Raw genomic sequence first — 19,194 nt, 5'->3', positions numbered from 1 at the left:
AGTTTAAGTGATTCAGTTTAAATCACTTAATATTTTTCTTGTGATTTCTTCTTTTATCTATAGATTAGGTAAAACTGTCTTAATTTCCAAATATTTGGGAATTTTCCTAGATGTTGTCTTCATCATAGATATCTTCATTAATTTAAAGCTTAAATTCATTATGGCCTTAGAACATATTTTGTATGATTTAAATCCTTTGAAATTTGGCCAGGCACAGTGGCTCACATCTATAATCCCAGTACTTTGGGAGGCCAAGGTGGGCAGATCACTTGAGGTTGGGAGTTCGAGACCAACCTGGCAAACATGGTGAAACCCTGTCTCTACTTAAAATACAAAAATTAGTGGGCGTGGTGGTACGCGCCTGTGATCACAGCTACTCGGGAGGTTGAGGCACAATAATCATTTGAACCCGGGAGGCAGAGGTTGCAGTGAGCTGAGATCACACCACTGCACTCCAGCCTGGGAGGCAGAGTGAAACTGTGTCTCCAATAAATAAATAAAAAAAAAAATCCTTTGAAATTTGCTGAGTTGTTTTGTGGGCCTAGTAGTATATTATCGATACCAATGAATGCATACCTTATACACTTGTAAAATAATGTGTATTCTGCTATTGTAGGGAGTAGTGTTCTATAACCACCATCTAAGTCAAATTCATTGATTGTACTGTTCAGATACCTGGGTGTGTCTAGTTAATTGCTGAGAAAGAGGTATTAAATTTTCCAATTATTACAGATTGCCAATATATCTCCTTAATTCTGCCTTTTTGGGAGACAGGGTCTCACTCTGTCACCAGGCTGGAGTGCAGTGGTGTGATCATGGTTCACTGCAGCCTCCACCTCCTGGGCTCAAGCAATCCTCCGCCTCAGCCTCCTGAGTAGCTGGGACTACAGATGCATGCCACCAAACCAGTTAATTTTTGAATTTTTGTAGAGATGGGGGTCTCTACAAAAAAACTCCAGGGTAGGGTTATGTTGGGTTAAGGGTTATGTTGCCCAGGCTGGTCTCAAACTAGTCTCAAGTGATCTTCTCACCTTGGCCTCCCAAAATGTTGGGGTTACAGGCATGGGCCATTGCCCAGCCAATTCTGTCAATTTTTGCTTTGTGTATTTTGAAGCCATTATTAGGCACATACACACTTATAACTGTCAAGACTTCCTGGTATCTTTTATCATGATAAGATGTCCCTTATTTATTTCTGATAAAAGCTTTCATCTTCTTATGCTTACTGTTTGCATGGCATACATTTATAAATTTTTTGGGATATCTTTTCCATCCATTTACTTTCAACCTGTGTCTTTATATTTAAATAACATCTTTTGGCCGAGCACGGTGGCTCACGCCTATGATCCCAGCACTTTGGGAGGCCGAGGAGGGTGGATCACTAGAGGTCAGGAGTTTGAGATCAGCCTGACAAACATGGTGAAACCTCATCTCTACTAAAAATACAAAAATAAGCCAGGCGTGGTGGTGAGTGCCTGTAATCCCAGCTACTTGGGAGGCTGAGGGAGGAGAATCCCTTGAACCCGGAAGGCAGAGGTTGCAGTGAGCTGAGATCACGCCACTGCACTCCAGCCTGGGTGACAGAGTGAGACTCTGTCTCAAAAAATAAATAAAAATAAAATTAATTTAAAAACTAGTTGGGCATCGTGGCATATACCTATAGTCCCAAAAAGGTGAAGTGGGAGGATTGCTTGAGCCTGGGAGGTTGAGGTACAGTGAGCTGTGTTCATGCCACTCACTGCACTACAGCCTGGGTGACAGAGCGAGACCCTGTCTCCAAATATATATATATTTATAGTACCATTACATTAAAAATGTAGAAACAGGCTGGGCATAGTGGCTCATGCCTATAATCCCAGCACTTTGGGAGACCAAGGTGGGAGGATTACTTGAGCCCAGGAGATCAATGCCAGTGTTGGCAACATAATGAGACTCTGTCTCTACTAAAAAAATAAAAAAATTAGCTAGGTGTGGTGGCATGCACCTGTGGTCCCAGGTACATGGGAGGCTGAGGCACGAGGATTGCTTGAGCCCAGGAGGTCTAGGTTGCAGTGAGTCATGATTGCACCACTGCACTCCAGACTGGGATACAGAGCCACAGAGCCAGATCCTGTCTCAAACAAACAAAAAAAAAAAAAAAAAAAAAAAGCAGAAACCTTTGCTATAGTACAGTCCATATACTCGTTTTTTTCTGTTATAATTGTCCTAAGAAATAAACATCATAACCTCTATACACGTTATTACAATTTTTGCTTTAAGCAATCCTATATATTTTAAGAAATTAAGAGGAAAAAAATAAGCCTTTCATATTCACCCAGGTGTTTACCACTTCCAATTCTCTTCATTCCTTCCTAAAGGTCTGAGTTTTTATTTGGTATCACTTTCCTTTAATCTGAAAAACTTCCTTTAGCATTTCTTGTAGTGCAGGTCTTCTGGTAGAATTCTTTTAGTTTTCTTTTATCTAAAAATGTCTTTTAATCTTGCAGTTTTTTTGTTTTTTTTGTTGTTTTTTTCCTGAATACAGAAACCTGGGTTGACAGGTTTTTTTTCCCTGTTGGGCACTTTATAAGATGTTACTCTACTGCCTTTTAAACATCTGTGGTTTCTAGTAAGAAGTAAGCTCTAATTATAATTGTCATTTCCCTGTGTCATTCTTCTCTAGCTACTTTCTTTTCTTTTTTCTTTTTTTTTTTTTTTTGAGACGGAGTCTCGCTCTGTCGCCCAGGCTGGAGTGCAGTGGCGCAATCCCGGCTCACTGCAACCTCCGCCTCCTGGGTTCAAGTGATTCTCTTGCCTCAGCCTCCTGGGTAGCTGGGATTACAGGTGTGCACTGCCACCCCGGCTAATTTTTGTATTTTTAGTAGAGATGGGGTTTTACCATGTTGGTCAGGCTGGTCTCGAACTCCTGACCTTGTGACCCACCTGTCTCGGCCTTCCAACGTGTGGGGATTACAGGCGTGAGCCACCGCGCCCAGCCTCTTCTCTAGCTACTTTCAAGATTTTCTCCTTATTTTTGGTTTTCAGCAACTTGACTACGATACACTGTATAGGAAAGGGTGAAAACTCAGCAGGCCTAGAATGCCAAGCCCTGCACATGCCAAAGAAAGGTCTGTCTTCAGGACTAGCCCTTTGCTGGCTCCTTGGAGATGGCCTCTGAGCCCTTTGAATATTCTGCTTCATAAGTATTTTTGCATGCCTGAGGTCTTAGGCCATGCTGTATCAGATAAATTTATCCTAACAATATGATTTATTGCCAGTACATGTTTTTGCTCTGGGGGTCTGGGGTCTGAGTAGCTGAGTTCAGTCATATGGGCACTGCATGCCGTGCTAGACACCAAAGATTGAAAGAGCTTCCTTGGTTGGGAATCCTTTGCACATGTTATCACGCATCACTGTAAAAGAATTAAGTACATCCCTGTATGACTCCATTCAATACCTGGAAGCTTGCATCTGATCTCTCCTAGATTTTATCCCGTGTGTCTTTTCCTCTGGCCAATTCTAACCTATGTCCTTTTGCTGTAATAAACCATTAACTGCTAGTTTACAGTTTATGAGTCCTATGGGTCCTTCTAGCAAATCACTGGCCCTGATGGTTATCTTGGGGACCCCGACACATACACCAAGGTATGGTTTTCTTTGTAATTATCCTAGTAGGTGGTGTTTGATGAGCGTCTTTCATCAGTAAATGTGCCTTTCATAAAATTTAAGAAAATTTCAGCCATTTTATCTTTAAATATGTCCTTCTCCAGTCTCTCTCTCACTTTCCTCTCCTGCTAGGACTCCAATTATAAAAAATAGGTTTTGCAGGTCTCGCACTCCTGGGCTCAAGTGATCCTCCTGCCTCGGCCTCCCTAAGTGCTGAAGTGGTGGGATTACAGACGTGAGCCACTGTGCCTGGCCAAAGTTAGGTCTTTTGATATTGTCCCACAGGGTTCTGAAGCTCTGGTGACACTTTTAAAAAATATGTGTTCTTTCTGTTCTTTAGTATGCTATCAAGTTCACCAGCTTCTTCCCCTGTCATCTCCATTTTGCTGTTAAGGTCACCTGCTGAATTTTAATTTCAGTGGTTATATTTTACAGTTCTAGAATCCCCACCTGACTCTTTTTTGTTTCGATTTCTAGGTTGAGATTTTCTTTTTTATTCAATACAAGAATATTTCCCTTTACTTCTTTGAGTGATTAAAATGAAAACCCTTAAAATCCTGACTCCTAATTCCAACACATGCAGTTAGTTTCTATCGATTGTCTCTTTTTCTTCAGACTGAGTTATAATTTCTTGGTTCTTAAAACATGTAGTTTTGGATTATATCCTGGACATTGTGAATATTATGCTGTACAAATTCCAGACTGTGTTCTATTCCTCTGGAGAGTATCATTACTTTTGTTTTAACATGTAATAAATTTGGTTAGATTCAAACTGCAAACTTTTTTTTTCAAGATAGAGTCTTACTCTGTCACCCAGGCTGGAGTGCAGTGGTGCGATCTGCACCCCTGACCTCCCTGGGCTCAGGGACTACAGGCACAGGCCACCATGCCTGGCTTAATTTTGTATTTTTTAGTGGAGATGGGGTTTCACCATGCTGCCCAGGCTGGCCTTGAACTCTTGGGCTCAAGTGATCCACCTGCTTCAGCCTCCTGAAGTACTGGGATTACAGGCATGAGCCACTGTGCCTGGCCTTCAAACTACAAACTCGGCTCACTTCTTCTTTTTTTTTTTTTTTTTCAGACGGAGTCTTACTCTGTCACCCAGGCTGTAGTGCAATGGCATGATCTTGGCTCACTGCAACCTCCACCCCCAGGGGTTCAAGCGATTCTCCTGCCTCAGCCACCTGAGTAGGTGGGATTACAGGCGCCTGCCAATGTGCCCGGCTAATTTTTGTATTTTTAGTAGAGATGGGGTTTCACCAGCTTGACCAGGCTGGTCTTGAACTCCTGATCTCGTGATCCACCCGCCTTGGCCTCCCAAAGTGCTGGGATTACAGGCGTGGGCCATTGCACCCGGCCCAGTTCACTTCTTTCATCTCTAGTTGTGCTGCTTATAATCTTTTGTGTTAAGTGTGGTTTACAATTAAACAGAGGCTTAAACACAGTTTATTTTATCTACAGAATTTTAGGCTGTCACTCTCTGGATCTCTCCCTTCCAAGATTCCTCCTCCCCTTACATTCCACTGACTCAGTGGTTGTGGCTGACCCAAATGCTGTCCACTGCTTAGGTTTTCTATGAAGGTTTAAGCCAGCCTGTCAGGTGCCCACTTCAGCCTGTCCTCTAGCTAAAAGCAGTAAAAATAAAAAACTAATTTCATGCTGTCTCTTCTTACATGTGTCAACTCTCTTTCAGAATCTGACTGCTCCCGTTCATCCTCCAGTGCCTTCGGGTCTTTGTTTTTTAAAAATTTTGTCCAGTTATATGCAGGAAGGTCAGGTCCAGTAAAAGCCTACTTGGCCATAAGAAAAGAAAACCATTCTGACATTGCTTTTAAAAATTACTTCAGATTCCCTGTATATGTAGGTATATAGATTCATTTTTTTTCTTTATGGAATCTTTCTAGCATAGATTCACTTTAAATGATACCAAGATAGGAATTATTTTGTATTCCTTGTTTGGTAACTCTTTTCATTCCACTTTAGCACCCACCATCTGCTGGGTGCTGAACAATGTAGTTTTTACTAATAAATTACGAACATTTTTACATAACAGAAGACACTAACTTTGACAGTAACTAGAAAAATAAGGCACAGAGCTAGAAGTGAAACTGATAAGCAGTAGCACCCTAACGCTGGGGAAATAGTCACATATGTGTAAAAACAGACAAGTATAACAACGTTAACTTAAGGCCGGGCGCGGTGGCTCATGCCTGTAATTCCAGCACTTTGGGAGGCCGAGGCGGGCGGATCACGAGGCCAGGAGATTGAGACCATCCTGGCTAACACAGTGAAACCCCGACTCTACTAAAAATACAAAAATAAAATTAGCTGGGCGTGGTAGCAGGCGCCTGTAGTCCCAGCTACTCAGGAGGCTGAGGCGGGAGAATGGCATGAACCCGGGAGGCGGAGCTTGCAGTGAGCGGAGATTGCACCACTGCACTCCAGCCTGGGCGACAGAGTGAAACTCCTCCATCTCAAAAAAGAAAAAGAAAAAGGAAAAAAAAAAAGAAGAATGTTAACTTCAGCGCTGTCTATAATAGCAAAAAATAGGAAAGAATCTAAATCCTTACCAAAAGAAAATAATATATTCATATAATGGATTACTACATAGCTGTTAAAATGAATAAATTATATAAATTCCAACATGAAAGAAGTTTAAAAACCTAATGTTGAATGGAAAACGTTATACAACAAACATGATAACATGAATGAATGGTTAAAAAGCATAAAACAATACAAACACATTTATTTAAAATAAACTGGAAGGATGTACCAGGTCCATGACGGTGTTACGTCTGGGGAAGGGGAGATGGAGGGCGTGGCCAGGTGGTAATCAAAGAGTCCTTTAGTTTGGAAGCAAATATGACTACCAATGCTAACAATTAACATAAGTTAATTCTACATATAGAGAAGATATGGGTGTAGGCTGCCTTTGTACTTTTCTATATTTTTCCATTTCTTAAAAAAAAAAAAAACAAAACTTTAACAACTTCAATGACTGTGTAATATTCGATTGCACAGTTATACCATAATATACTCAACCAATCTCTAATTGTTAAGACACCGAGATATCTGCCACTATCATAAACTGTGCTATAATGAACATCTGTGTAGTTATTTTTGCACATTTTTAAAAAAGGATAAATTCCAGCTGGGTTCCGTGGCTCACGCCTGTAATCTCAGTATTTTGGGAAGCCAAGGCGGGCGGATCACGAGGTCAGGAGTTCGAGACCAGCCTGGCCAATATAGTGAAACTCCGTCTTTACTAATAATACAAAAAATTAGCCGGGCGTGGTGGCAGGCACCTGTAATCCCAGCTACTTGGGAGGCTGAGGCAGGAGAATCGCTTGAACCCGGGAGGTGGAGGTTGCAGTGACCCGAGATCGTGCCATTGCACTCCAGCCTGGGCAACACGGTGAGACTCTGTCTTTAAAAAAAAAAAAAAAAAAAAAAAAGGGCCGGGCACGGGTGGCTCACGCCTGTAATCCCAGCACTTTGGGAGGCCGAGGTGGGCAGATCACCAGGTCAGGAGATTGAGGCCATCCTGGCTAACATGGTGAAACCCCGTCTGTACTAAAAAATACAAAAAATTAGCCGGGCGTGGTAGCAGGCGCCCGTAATCCCAGCTACTCGGGAGGCTGAGGCAGGAGAATGGCGTGAACCCGGGAGGCAGAGCTTGCAGTGAGCCGAGATTGCGCCACTGCACTCCAGCCTGGGCGACAGAGCGAGACTCTGTCTCAAAAAAAAAAAAAAAAAAAAAAAAAAAGAATTCCTAAAAACAAGATTGCTAGGGCAGTTCTAGGTCTGTTACATATTGCCAACTGCCTTCCAGAAAGGCTGTAACAATTTACATGTACTTCACCAAACTATATGCTTATTTCCTTGCATCCTGCCAATCTGGATACTAAAACACAAAAAACTATCTTCACTACACTAGGTATGTGAGAGGCAGGGATCTGATTTTCTTCCCCAAACTATGAGAGTCTATCATAACTTAATTACTCAGCAACCAACTATAATATGATAAAGGCTTCATTACAAGCTGTTACATAATATACCATAAAATAGCAAAAACAAACAGAAAACCACTAATTCTTTCATTGTTTCTTTTGCCTATTTTCCCAAACAACTTAAGGCAGAATATAATTAAAGCACTGTTTTTACCTTAGAAAGGAAGAATATGCAGATACACGTATTTAAAACTAGACAATCGGCTGTGTGTGGTGGCTCAGGCCTGTAAATCCCAGCACTTTGAGAGGCCAACGCAGGCGGATCACTTGAAGCCAGGAGTTTGAGAGACCAGCCTGGCCAACATGGTGAAACCCCATCTCTAGTAAAAATACAAAAAATTAGCTGGGCGTGGTGGCACACGCCTGTAATCCCAGCTACTCGGAAGGCTGAGGCAGGAGAGTCGCTTGAACCCTGGAGGTGGAGGTTGCAGTGAGCCGAGATCGCGCCACTGCACTCCAGCCTGGGCAACAGAGTGAGACTCTGTCTCAAAAAATTAAAAAAAAAAAAAAAAAGATAAATAAATAAAACTAGACACTGATGCATTTTACTGAAATGGTTTATGTTTTTATTTATTTATTTCACTGCAATGAAATGGATTATATTTTTAAAGATTTATTCATAAATAAGACAATTTTAAAAGGTTTTCACTTTTGAAAGCTGCAAGAAAGGCCTTTAAACTTCTTGGTCTAACTATACCGGTCTTCTTTAATTACAATCTAAAAACATACACTAATCATAGACTTTGGTCAGTGACAAATATCCTGAACTTCCATAGCCCTTTACATCTCTCACGCTAGATTAAATAATTCAGTTGATAATCACTAATAATTAGCATTTACACAGCACTTTATTTACTGCAACATACAAAGCAGGGCAAAATAATGATCATCACATTAACAAAGGAAGATGCTGAACCAATTAGACTAGTCATCTAAGGTCATGCTAAAACAGGAATTTGCCAGAATTAGACACTGGAGTTCTTGTAGCATAATTCCTATATGCCTTATTGCCCAAAAGTTACTACCTGTAAGAATTATGACAACTGAGGAAGAAATCTAGAATGTACCAGAGCCAGAGAATCATATTATTTAAATGATAATTGAAGACCATCTACTTCACTTTACATCCTCACTTTACAGATATTAAAACTGAGGCCCCCGAAAGGTTATGTAAGTTACTTGTTCAAAGTCATACTTCTAGACACAGCACAGCAAGAATTAGAACCTAGTACTCTTTAATCCAAATTCAGTGAGCTTCAAATGCTAGAGTATAAGAGCTATCCTTAATTGGTAATTCAAAATTTTTGGTTTATCAAAAAGCCTCAATGTCTTTCACTGATAATTGTTAGTGAAATAATTCATATCATTCATTCAACAAATAATTATCCAGTACTACTTATGTGGCAGGCCCTGTATTTGGTGCTAAATCTGACTGCATATTTACTATGTGCTAGGCACTGTATTACCTGCATTTTCATATTTAATCCTCACAATACCATTGTAAGGTTAAGTACAATTTATCTATTTTAAATATTAAAACTTAAAAAGATAAATCTACCTACAGTTTCCAGTAAGAAAATGCCTTTATAAAAAGGCACAAAATCAAACACAAAATACATTTAGCCTAACAAAAATCTAATTTTCTTGTAAATACTACAACTCTGTGTATGATTTCATTTGATAAAAGATCTATAATCAAATAGTTTAAAAACCACAGACCTCTACATAGCACCTAACACTGACCATACAGTAGATGTAAAACTTGGTATTACATTAAAGGATGGGGGTCCCTTGTAGAGGGGCTTGAAAGATCCTTTTTTTTTCTTGTACTTTCCAAGATCCCAGAATAGACAGCATTTGCAGTAATCTAACTGAAAGCCACTTGCTAGAAAAGTGATCATTTGAAATAGATAAAAGACAAGAGAAGGGGTTTCTGGTACCATCTAATAATGAGTTTTGGCCTGAAGAATATTAAATAAGATAGAAAGTAGAAGAATGCATGAGTTCTCCTAAGCATTACTCACAAAATAGTACTACAATACTGGTTACCTACTTTCAGAGCATAAAATCTCTATAGTATACGATCACATTAATTAAAAGTTTCATTTACTATCTTTCCCAGCAGGAATTCCTTTATCTTTGATTGCTAAGATTCCACAAAGCACATATCAAAAAATCCAAGTGCTAAAAAGTATGACAATTATGGAGATTTAAAAACAAGCTTTGTAAATAAGTAAGAACCTGATGATATTAGATTCTCACCTAATATCACCTTAGGGGCAACCTATAAGAAAAGAAGTACCTTGAAATATAACTGGAGCATAGAAAAAAAATTTTCTTTTTTTTTTTTTTTTTGAGACAGAGTCTTGCTCTGTCACCCAGGCTGGAGTGTACTGGCGCGATCTCATCTCACTGCAAGCTCTGCCTCCCGGGTTTACGCCATTCTCCTGCCTCAGCCTCCCAAGCAGCTGGGACTACAGGCGCCCGCCACCACGTCCAGCTAATTTTTCTGTATTTTTAGTAGAGACGGGGTTTCACCGTGTTAGCCAGGATGGTCTCAATCTCCTGACCTTGTGATCCGCCCGTCTCGGCCTCCCAAAGTGCTGGGATTATAGGCGTGAGCCACCGTACCCAGCGAGCATAGAAAAAATATTTAGGGGAAGATTAATGTTACAAAGTGGTCTACTGCTTTGGGAAATATTGATATTAAGGAAACCAAATCAAGCAATCATTTAAAAAAAGACAGGAGAAGAATCTGCCTTTCCCATCATACAGCATATTGTTTTTGTATTTTAGCCATAATTTTGTAGGTATAAATCAGACTAACATAAATGGCACGCTGATAAGTAATCAATCACAGAATTAACCACATGCAGTATTCTAATATAAATGGTTACCTGAGAAGTCTGTCAGAAGTCTTGCTAGGACATGCTTTTTTACCAATTCAGTCTTGCTAAGGCTGGAAACAGCATCTACCCTAGTAGTTTCTCTGATAGTGATGGGCTTCTGGGAAATCCCAAGATCAGATCCATTCTTGACATTACGTTCTAGGATGTCATATGATCTCTGTGGCCAAGATTCTGGAGCAAATGTGAAAGTTTGCTTCAGTACTTCTTCAGAAGGCAATTCTGCGTCACGCTGTGCAGAAGTTGACTTCTCAACCTGTCTTTCACCTAATTCTTTAAGAGCCTTAATTGTGAGCTGTTCTTGTTCTAAGTCAAGAGATGCTACTGGAGTACCTTGGGTAGGGAAAACACCTAGAGGCTCACTTCCATTTGTTTCTTTGCTTTGTTCACTGTATTTGCTTCCAATGTCTTTAATTTCAGAACCACCGGACTCATTTTCATGTAAGACTTCTACAGGAGGAGTTGTTTTAAAGTCTGTCATCTTCTCTGATATTGCTTTAAAAGCATTTCTTTCACTATCTACTATTCCTTTATCTCTGGTTTCTGTAAAGGCTGCTATCAGGTCCTCTGGGGAGGAATCATCTATATGTTTAACATTTTTCCCATGTAATGACTCCAAATAGGCAGATGTTGTCACATTTAATGAGAATTCTGTCTCATTAAAAACATTTGGAGACACTGTTGAAGGAAGTTTGGGGTTCTCAGTAGTAATAGGCTTTTCAGGAGCAACTTCACTCACATCTTCTAAGGAGACATTCGTATCGGGTACTTTTGAACATGCTGCCTCACTAGCTGGACTCCTTCCAAGAATATCAGGCTGATCTTGATGCAGCTCAGAGTCACTGACCAATTCTTCAAAGTTTTTAGATGTTTTTTCTTCTCTCTCACAACTGGGAATCTCTTTGATTTCTCTTTCACCTGTTTTTACAACAGCACTTGGAATGGAAACAGGTTTTTCAGCCTGAATTTTGTTATTTTCAAATGATGTATCTGCTGTGATGTCCTCTATTACTGTGTCATCAGACTCACCAGAACTATCAGCTTCTGTGATTTCTCCCAATGCAGAGCTCTGCCAGTCCATTTCATCTTTCAGGTGGTCATCAGGTAAAACCACTTTCACTGTGGCCACTCCAGAACCCAAAGAGTCACATTTCTCAGGTGGAGATCCAGGTAATTCTGCAAGTGTGTCATCCTGTTTCTGCATATTGCCTTGCACACCTTTGATACTGAATTCTTTTGTGGAATTCAAAGAGTCAGGTACAGGTTTTCCAGTAATAGCATTTTCTTGCTGGAGAGATGCTTCTGCCCAATCACCTGTTGATTTAGTGATGGGAGTGCTCCCATCAATAGAACATACAGGAGTTTTCTGATGAGTGCTAGTTTTAAGATTTACAACTGGAATTTCTGAATTATATTCACTCATGTCAAGTCCTGTAGTTTTTGTGATGCAGTCAGAAGATTTATCGGTCTGTTGTTTCACTTGGGGAACCAGATCCCAAGTCAGTATTTCGTTAGTAAAGTTATGCATATCATTCACGCATCTGGACACCTCTTCCAGTGCTGCATTTGTGTGTGAAAACTGCCTACTGAGCAATGCAGACATTGGGTAACGTCCTGCCTCTTTATTTCTCAGTGGAAAAAGCTTGTCATTAGTCTCTGAAATGTCTTCGGATGATTCTTTATCAGTGTGCACAGACCAGCTACCAAAATCATCTGTGCTCTCCTTATATGAGTCTTTAAATTCTTTGTCAAATGCTGCTTTGTCAATAATTACTTCAAATGGTGATTCAGGGGAATCCTTTTCAATAACATCATCTCCTGAAACTTTGGATGGAGACAAAGAATATGTATAAATGCCTTCTACCTTAGAGTACTCAGTAGGTGGTTTCTGGGCTGTCAGCAAAGTGAATCTGTCATCAGCATCCAATGCAGTTTTAGCCTCCCTACTTGATACCCCATTTGGGTTCTTGGTCTCTTTATCTATTTGCTCTTCCACTTGACCAATTTTCTTTGAGAGAAAAGCAGGATGCTCTGGGAAACTGGCTGGAATAGAAGGACGGTCACAATGAACTCCTGCTGCAAGAGAAACTGAAGAGTCTGATACGTTGTTGCTGGTCCCCTGAGGCTTTTCCATCTTTTTCATATCTAGAAGATCCAAGTGGTCTTTTCCTTCTTTGGCTAAAATAGGCTGGCTCCCTAACACATGGCTTTTTTCTCCATGTAGTATTGTAAGGCCAGTGTTATGTATTTCAGAAGATGAAAGAAAGGAAGAAGTCATAATTTCTGAAGATGGCTCATCAGAGCAAAGAGAGCTCAATCCCTCTATGATCAGAATTTCAAAGAAAAAAATTGTTTACCAGGTACAATTACACATTAGCTAGCCAAGCCAAGCAGCATGCTTTTTATTTTTTAAATTACATAAATATATATATACACACACAGGATGTATATATACACACATAAATATGTAACAAAACGATCAAGTTATCCTACAGGACATGCATAAAACTGCCAACAGTGAAACAGAAAAGCCATATCATGCCACAAACTGCAAATGATAAAAAATTTTCATGACAAATACTTTTGGTCTACTTTTCCATTGTACAGAGAAAGCATAAAGAAGGGCGGTAAGATTGAGAAATCTTGGGAGGTTTTTTATTCTTTGATAGAGCTAATCAACAAAAGCAAAATAATTTATACAAAACAAATAACCTGATACTATAAAGGGTTGATAGACTTCAATCTGTAAGCTGAACAATTCAGAGCACAGACTGCCTCTATAAATCTGTTAGTCTCACAATCTGAAAAGGAAAAAAACTAGTGGCCAGACTTTTTTGATTTTTAGGAGATGCAATGGGCCCTTCCTGAATCTGAAAAATGAGACTAGAATTATTCTATTCTATCCACAGGGAGAATCTGTCCCATGTACAAATAAATAGCTGTGATGTTCTAAACTAAAGGGTACTGAAAAAGGTGGACCCCCTCCAAAATCTTTTTTTTTTTTTTTTGATACGGAGTCTTTTTCTTGTTGCCCAGGCTGAAGTGCAATGGCGCAATCTCAGCTCACTGCAACCTCCACCTCCCAGGTTCAAGCCATTCTCCTGCCTCAGCCTCTCAAGTAGCTGGGATTACAGGCAGGCACCATCAAGCCCAGCTAATTTTTGTATTTTTAGAAGAGATGGGGTTTCACCATGTTGGCCAGGCTGGTCTCTTAACTCCTGACCTCAAGTGATCCACCCGCCTTGGCCTCCCAAAGTGCTGGGATTACAGGTGTGAGCCGCTACGCCTGGCCCCTCCAAAATCTCTTGTACTAACTTGTCATTTAAATCAATATTGTACTGTGCAAATTGATTTCTTTGGTTAAGACAGAGTTAACTTGGCTGGGTGCAGTGGCTCACCTGAGGTCAGGAGTTCGAGACCAGCCTGACCAAAATGGTGAAACCTCATCTCTACTAAAGATACAAAAAAATTAGCCGGGCGTGGTGGCAGGCACCTGTAATTCCAGCTACTCGGGAGGCTGAGGCAGGAGAATCCTTTGAACCCAGGAGGCAGACATTGATGGCAGTGAGCTGAGGTCACGCCATCGCACCCCAGCCTGGGCAACAAGAGTGAAACTGTCTCAAAAAAAAAAAAAAAAAAAAAAAAAAAGACAGAGTTAACTCCAGAATTACTTTTAAAATAGAAAATATCCTTCTCAAAGTAATACGTTAAGTCTTATCAGTTAATACCATAGTAGCCATCAATCTACCACACTGTTTTCTAACTTCCCACTCTAACAAATTTTTACTGGGGAAAAGGATCAAAACAAATATCCCAAGGGCTGGTGCTTTCTTACTTCATTTATTTGTTTGTTTGTATTTGAGAGAGGGTCTCCCTCTGTCCTCCAGGCTGGAGTGCCAGTGGTACAATTGTGGCTCACTGCAGCCTTGACCTCCTGGCCTCAAGCTATCCTCCCACCTCAGCCTCCCAAGTAGCTGGGACCACAGGCACATGCCACCACACCTGGCTAATTTTTAAACTTTCTTTTCTTTTTTTTTTTTTTTTGTTTTTTTTTTGAGACGGAGTCTTGCTCTGTCGCCCAGGCTGGAGTGTAGTGGCGCGATCTCTGCTCACTGCAAGCTCCGCCTCCCGGGTTCGCGCCATTCTCCTGCCTCAGTCTCCCAAGCAGTTGGGACTACAGGCACCCGCCGCCACGCCTGGCTAATTTTATTTTTGTATTTTTAGTAGAGACGGGGTTTCACCGTGTTAGCCAGAATGGTCTCGATCTCCTGACCCCGTGATCCGCCTGCCTCGGCCTCCCAAAGAGCTGGGAATACACGCATGAGCCACCGCGCCTGGCCTGATTTTTAAACTTTCTACAGACCTGGTGCCTCACTACATTGCCAGGTTGGTCTCAAACTACTGGGCTCAAGCAACCTGCCCACCTCGGCCTCCTGAAGTGCTGGGATTATAGGCATGAGCCACCACGCCCACCCTGGGCGCTGTCTTTCTTGCATACTGTTGTATCTTTGGAGCTGGGACAAAGTGGGTCTTAAATAAATAGCCCCAAATAAGTGAATCAAAGATTCAGCTTGGTCAGCTGAGACCTAAGTAGGCTCAGGACAGCAATGCCTTGAGCATGAATGAGTAACTGGGAAAATGTGACAGAGAAGTTCTTTTGGGATTACCTTTATTCAGCTTATGTTCCCTTTTTCATGTAAACATCCAAATACCAGATAAAAGCAAAATTATGACTTCATTCAAAATTATTTTATTAAAGACAAAAATATTTTACAATAAATAAAATTCCAGTATTATGAAAATGTTTTGAAATGCCATATAAAGTTCCCCTACTTCAACACATCACTGAAACTTGATGTAATAAGAGCTGAGCTTTAGAAATAGTATAACTGTAATCTGGTTATTAGAATAAAAAGTCTTTGTACATTCAAGGAAAACTGTAAAAGCTTGGTGGCAAAGCTATATTACCAAAACAAAACACTTGAAGTAAACTGTAATTCATATGTAGTTCTAATTTAGTAAACATGGTTTGCATCTACCATTATACAGTATGGATATTCAGCATGACTAGATTAGGGCATAACAGAAATGAAGCCCAGTATTGTAGGTTAAAAGGTTCAAAAATCTGAAGTGTGAAGTACTACAGATTACATTTAAATCAGAAATATTCCACAATCTGAGCCATGCATTGTTACTGAACTTACTAGTCAGTGTTTCTACCACAAAACATTCAGTGAACTAAGGTTATGGTAAAACTGTTTGGGAACCTCTCTCTTCAAACAACTCTGAGGTGAGTCAAACTGACTCCACCCCACAGGGGAGGTTCAGCTTATATGTTTTTTTGTGTGTTTTTTGTGTGTTTTTTTTAGACAGAGTCTAGTTCTGTTGCCCAGGCTGGAGTGCAGTGGTGCAATCTCGGCTCACTGCAACCTCCGCCCCCCAGATTGAAGCGATTTTCCTGACTCAGCCTCCGAAGTAGCTGGGATTACAGGCGTGCACCACCGCACCTGGCTAATTTTTTGTATTTTTAGTAGAGAGCTGGTTTCACCACGTTGCGCAGGCTGGTCTCGAACTCCTGAGCTCAAGCAATCTGCTCGCCTCAGCCTCACAAAGTACTAGGATTACAGGCATGAGCCACTGCACCCAGCCAGCTTATATGTTTTATGGAGATGGAGATTTCAGATGATTCAGATCTGTCATCTTACAGATGAAAGTCTACAAAATGAATTAGTAATAATTCAACAGGTATTTATTGAGTGCCTACCACGTGTCAGACACTGTTTTAGAAACTGGGCTTAAAGCAGTGAATAAAACAGAAAAAATTTCTTGCCTTTATGGAGCTTACAACACAGAGGGGAAGGCAGACAATAAGCAAAATCAATAAGCAAAATGATGACAATAATACAGTGGTGACAGTGCCTGATTAAACAAAAAAGAAAGCAACCAAATTGAATGCTAACCAAAGAATATTCATGTCACTGGGAAGAGCATGGTAAAACTGTCTATGCTTTAGCAGGACACAAACTGGTCAGTTTATCAAGCTTTGCTTTTCTCTTAACTTCTTTGAACCTTTAATACTCCAAAAGTTTCAAGTTAGGTGTAGAATAATCTCAGGTAAAACTAAAGTTAGAAGTCCTATTCTCAGAATACTAACACATCCTCTGCTGAGCACCATGATAGCCTGACAGACTTCAAACATTAAGGATTCTCTAGGCTGGGTGTGGTGGCTCATGCCTGTATCTTAGAACTTTGGGAGGCACAGGAGGGAAAATTGCTTGAGTCCAAGAGGTCAAGATCAGCCTGGGCAACATGCTGAGATCCTGCCCCTACAAAAAATAGAAAAATTAGCCGTGCATGGTGGCACGTGCCTGTAGTCCCAGTCACTTGGGAGGCTGGAGTGGGAGGATTGCTTGAGTCTGGGAGGTCAAGGCTGCAGTGAGCCATGGTCATGCCACTGCACTCCAGCTTGGGTGACAGAGTGAGAAAGAGAAAAGAGAAGAGAAGAGAAGAGAAAAGAGAAAAATGAAAAAAAGGAAAAAAGAAAAAAGATTAATATGACATGGCTACGAGATATATTAAAAAAAAACTCTAATAATGTTCCCTAATAAAAATATTATAACTTACTATTTAGGGTATATCTTGTTTTTTCTGGGGACAAGCTTAGAGGGCAAACAGAGCTCAGTGCTGCATTCATTTCTCAGTGATTGTGAGATGCAGGCGCTAATCATTACTATCAATCAAGCTTTCCCACATGTAGAAAAATAAGGTAGCATCATCATCTGTGCTTTAACTTTAATTATTTTGTTTAGAATTTCAGCAAATGAAAATACCATTTTTGGCTAGCTGAAACCCTAACAAACTTGGACACAGCTGACCTGTACCAAGACAATGGGAAAAATTGGGCTGGAAGTAAAAAGTTTATAAAGGCATGAAAACATTAAATAGAATGAAGACCAAAAACTAATAAGCCTTTTAGAACAGCTCCGATAAGCAAAGACTCTTCCAATTGGTCAGTATGGCACTTGTAGTCACTGCTGTTGCCCAAGTCAGTACCTGGCAAAAGGACAGAAAAGTCCAGTGAATCTGAAGGCAGTTAGCTCTTAAAATACTATACACTGTAAAGCTGTCTGGTGGAATAAATCTGGATTATTTTATGTCTCAGAAAATGTCTACTATCTTTCTTTTCTCAAAAGATTCATCCCTTCACATGCACTCTAAGAGCCTTTCAACACTACTCAAAACAAATCGCCATCAAAACTCTCATTATGAACATTTTCTAAATTAGTTCTTTGCTATAATGGAATTTAGTGTGGATATTCATTTTCAAGAGTTCTAATCACTTAAAAACATGGTGCTACTCTAATTATTAACAAATAAAGTCATAGATCTAGTAGATTTACTAAAAAGGGAATCAGCTGAGTGTGGTGGCTCATGCCTGTAATCCTAGCACTTTGAGAAGCCAAGGCAGGGAGACAGCTTGAGCCCAGGAGTTCGAGACCAGCCTGGGCAACACAGTGCGACCCCATCTCTACAAAAAAATTAAACAATTAGCCAGTCATGGTGGCATACACCTGTGGTCCTGACTACTTGGGAGGCTGAAGTGGGAGGACTGCTTGAGCCCAGGAGGTCGAGGCTGCAGTGAGCCATGCACTCCACCCTGGGTGACAAAGCAAGACCTTGTTTCAAAAAATGGGGGGTGGGTGAGAATCGATATATGGTAAGAGGTAAAAAATGTCATATCCCCACAATGATCATGAACATGTTCTCAAACTTATCAAGTACTCAGCTCCATGATTACTCATCTTCTTAAACTCTAAATACTCCACTGAGATATATTATCTGAAACAAAGACTAAGAAATTAAGTTGGTAGTCATATTCTAAATTCTAAATTTTTAGACCCAAATAAAAAATTCTTTTATATTTTTGAGAGATGGAATTTCACTCTTTTTGCCCAGGCTGGAGTGCAATGGTGTGACCTTGGCTCACCGCAACCTCTGCCTCCTGGGTTCAAGCGATTCTCCTGCCTCAGCCTCCGGAGTAGCTGGGATTACAGGCATGCGCCACCAGGCCTAGCTAATTTTGTATTTTTAGTAGAGACGGAGTTTCTCCACGTTGGTTAGGCTGGTCTGGAACTCCCAACCTCAGGTGATTCGCCTGCCTCGGCCTCTCCAAGTGCTGGGATTACAAGTGTGAGCCATTGCGCCCGGCCAAAAAATTCTTATTAAAAAATTCGAAGTCGGCCAGGCACGGTGGCTCACGCCTGTAATCCCAGCACTTTGGGGGCCGAGCTGGTCCTGATCACGAGGTCAGGAGTTCAAGACCAGCCGGATCAACATGGAGAACCCCATCTCTACTAAAAATACAAAAAAATTAGCCGAGTGTGGTGGCGCATGCCTATAATCCCAGCTACTCGGGAGACTGAGGCAGGAGAATCGCTTGAACCCAGGAGGTGGAAATTGCGGTGAGCCAAGATCACACCACTGCACTCTAGCCCAGGCAACAATGTGAGACTCCATCTCAAAAAAAAAAAAAAAAAAAATCAAAGTCCTTTAATCACAATTACTAATCGTGTGGCCTTGAGTAAACTGCTTAATCCAATCTCATCAAAATGGGAAAATTAAAGCACCTAACT

At 40.7% G+C, this 19,194-nt stretch overlaps 1 protein-coding gene across 13 annotated transcripts in view; it reads right to left on the bottom strand.

The window, feature by feature from the left end:
• RTN3 (reticulon 3) overlaps nt 1-19,194 on the bottom strand; it is a 78,442-nt gene that overhangs the window by 28,307 nt on the left and 30,941 nt on the right. For 4 of the 13 annotated variants that reach the window (XM_011544730.3, XM_017017091.2, NM_001265589.2 and 1 more), the window contains one exon: nt 10,553-12,883. The exons of 7 other annotated variants lie outside the window; for them this stretch is intronic. In XM_011544730.3, the coding sequence (XP_011543032.1) occupies nt 10,553-12,883 (2,331 nt within the window). Of the gene's footprint in view, nt 1-891; nt 5,436-10,552; nt 12,884-19,194 lie in introns of those variants that run through there. 2 more of the 13 variants (XM_017017092.2, NM_001265590.2) reach the window with 2 other exon arrangements.

This window comes from Homo sapiens, chromosome 11, assembly GCF_000001405.40.
Source record: "Homo sapiens chromosome 11, GRCh38.p14 Primary Assembly".
NCBI classification, from domain to species: Eukaryota; Metazoa; Chordata; class Mammalia; order Primates; family Hominidae; genus Homo; species Homo sapiens.
The sequence above is the reverse complement of the archived record's forward strand: the minus strand, read 5'-3'. Positions and strand labels throughout refer to the sequence as shown.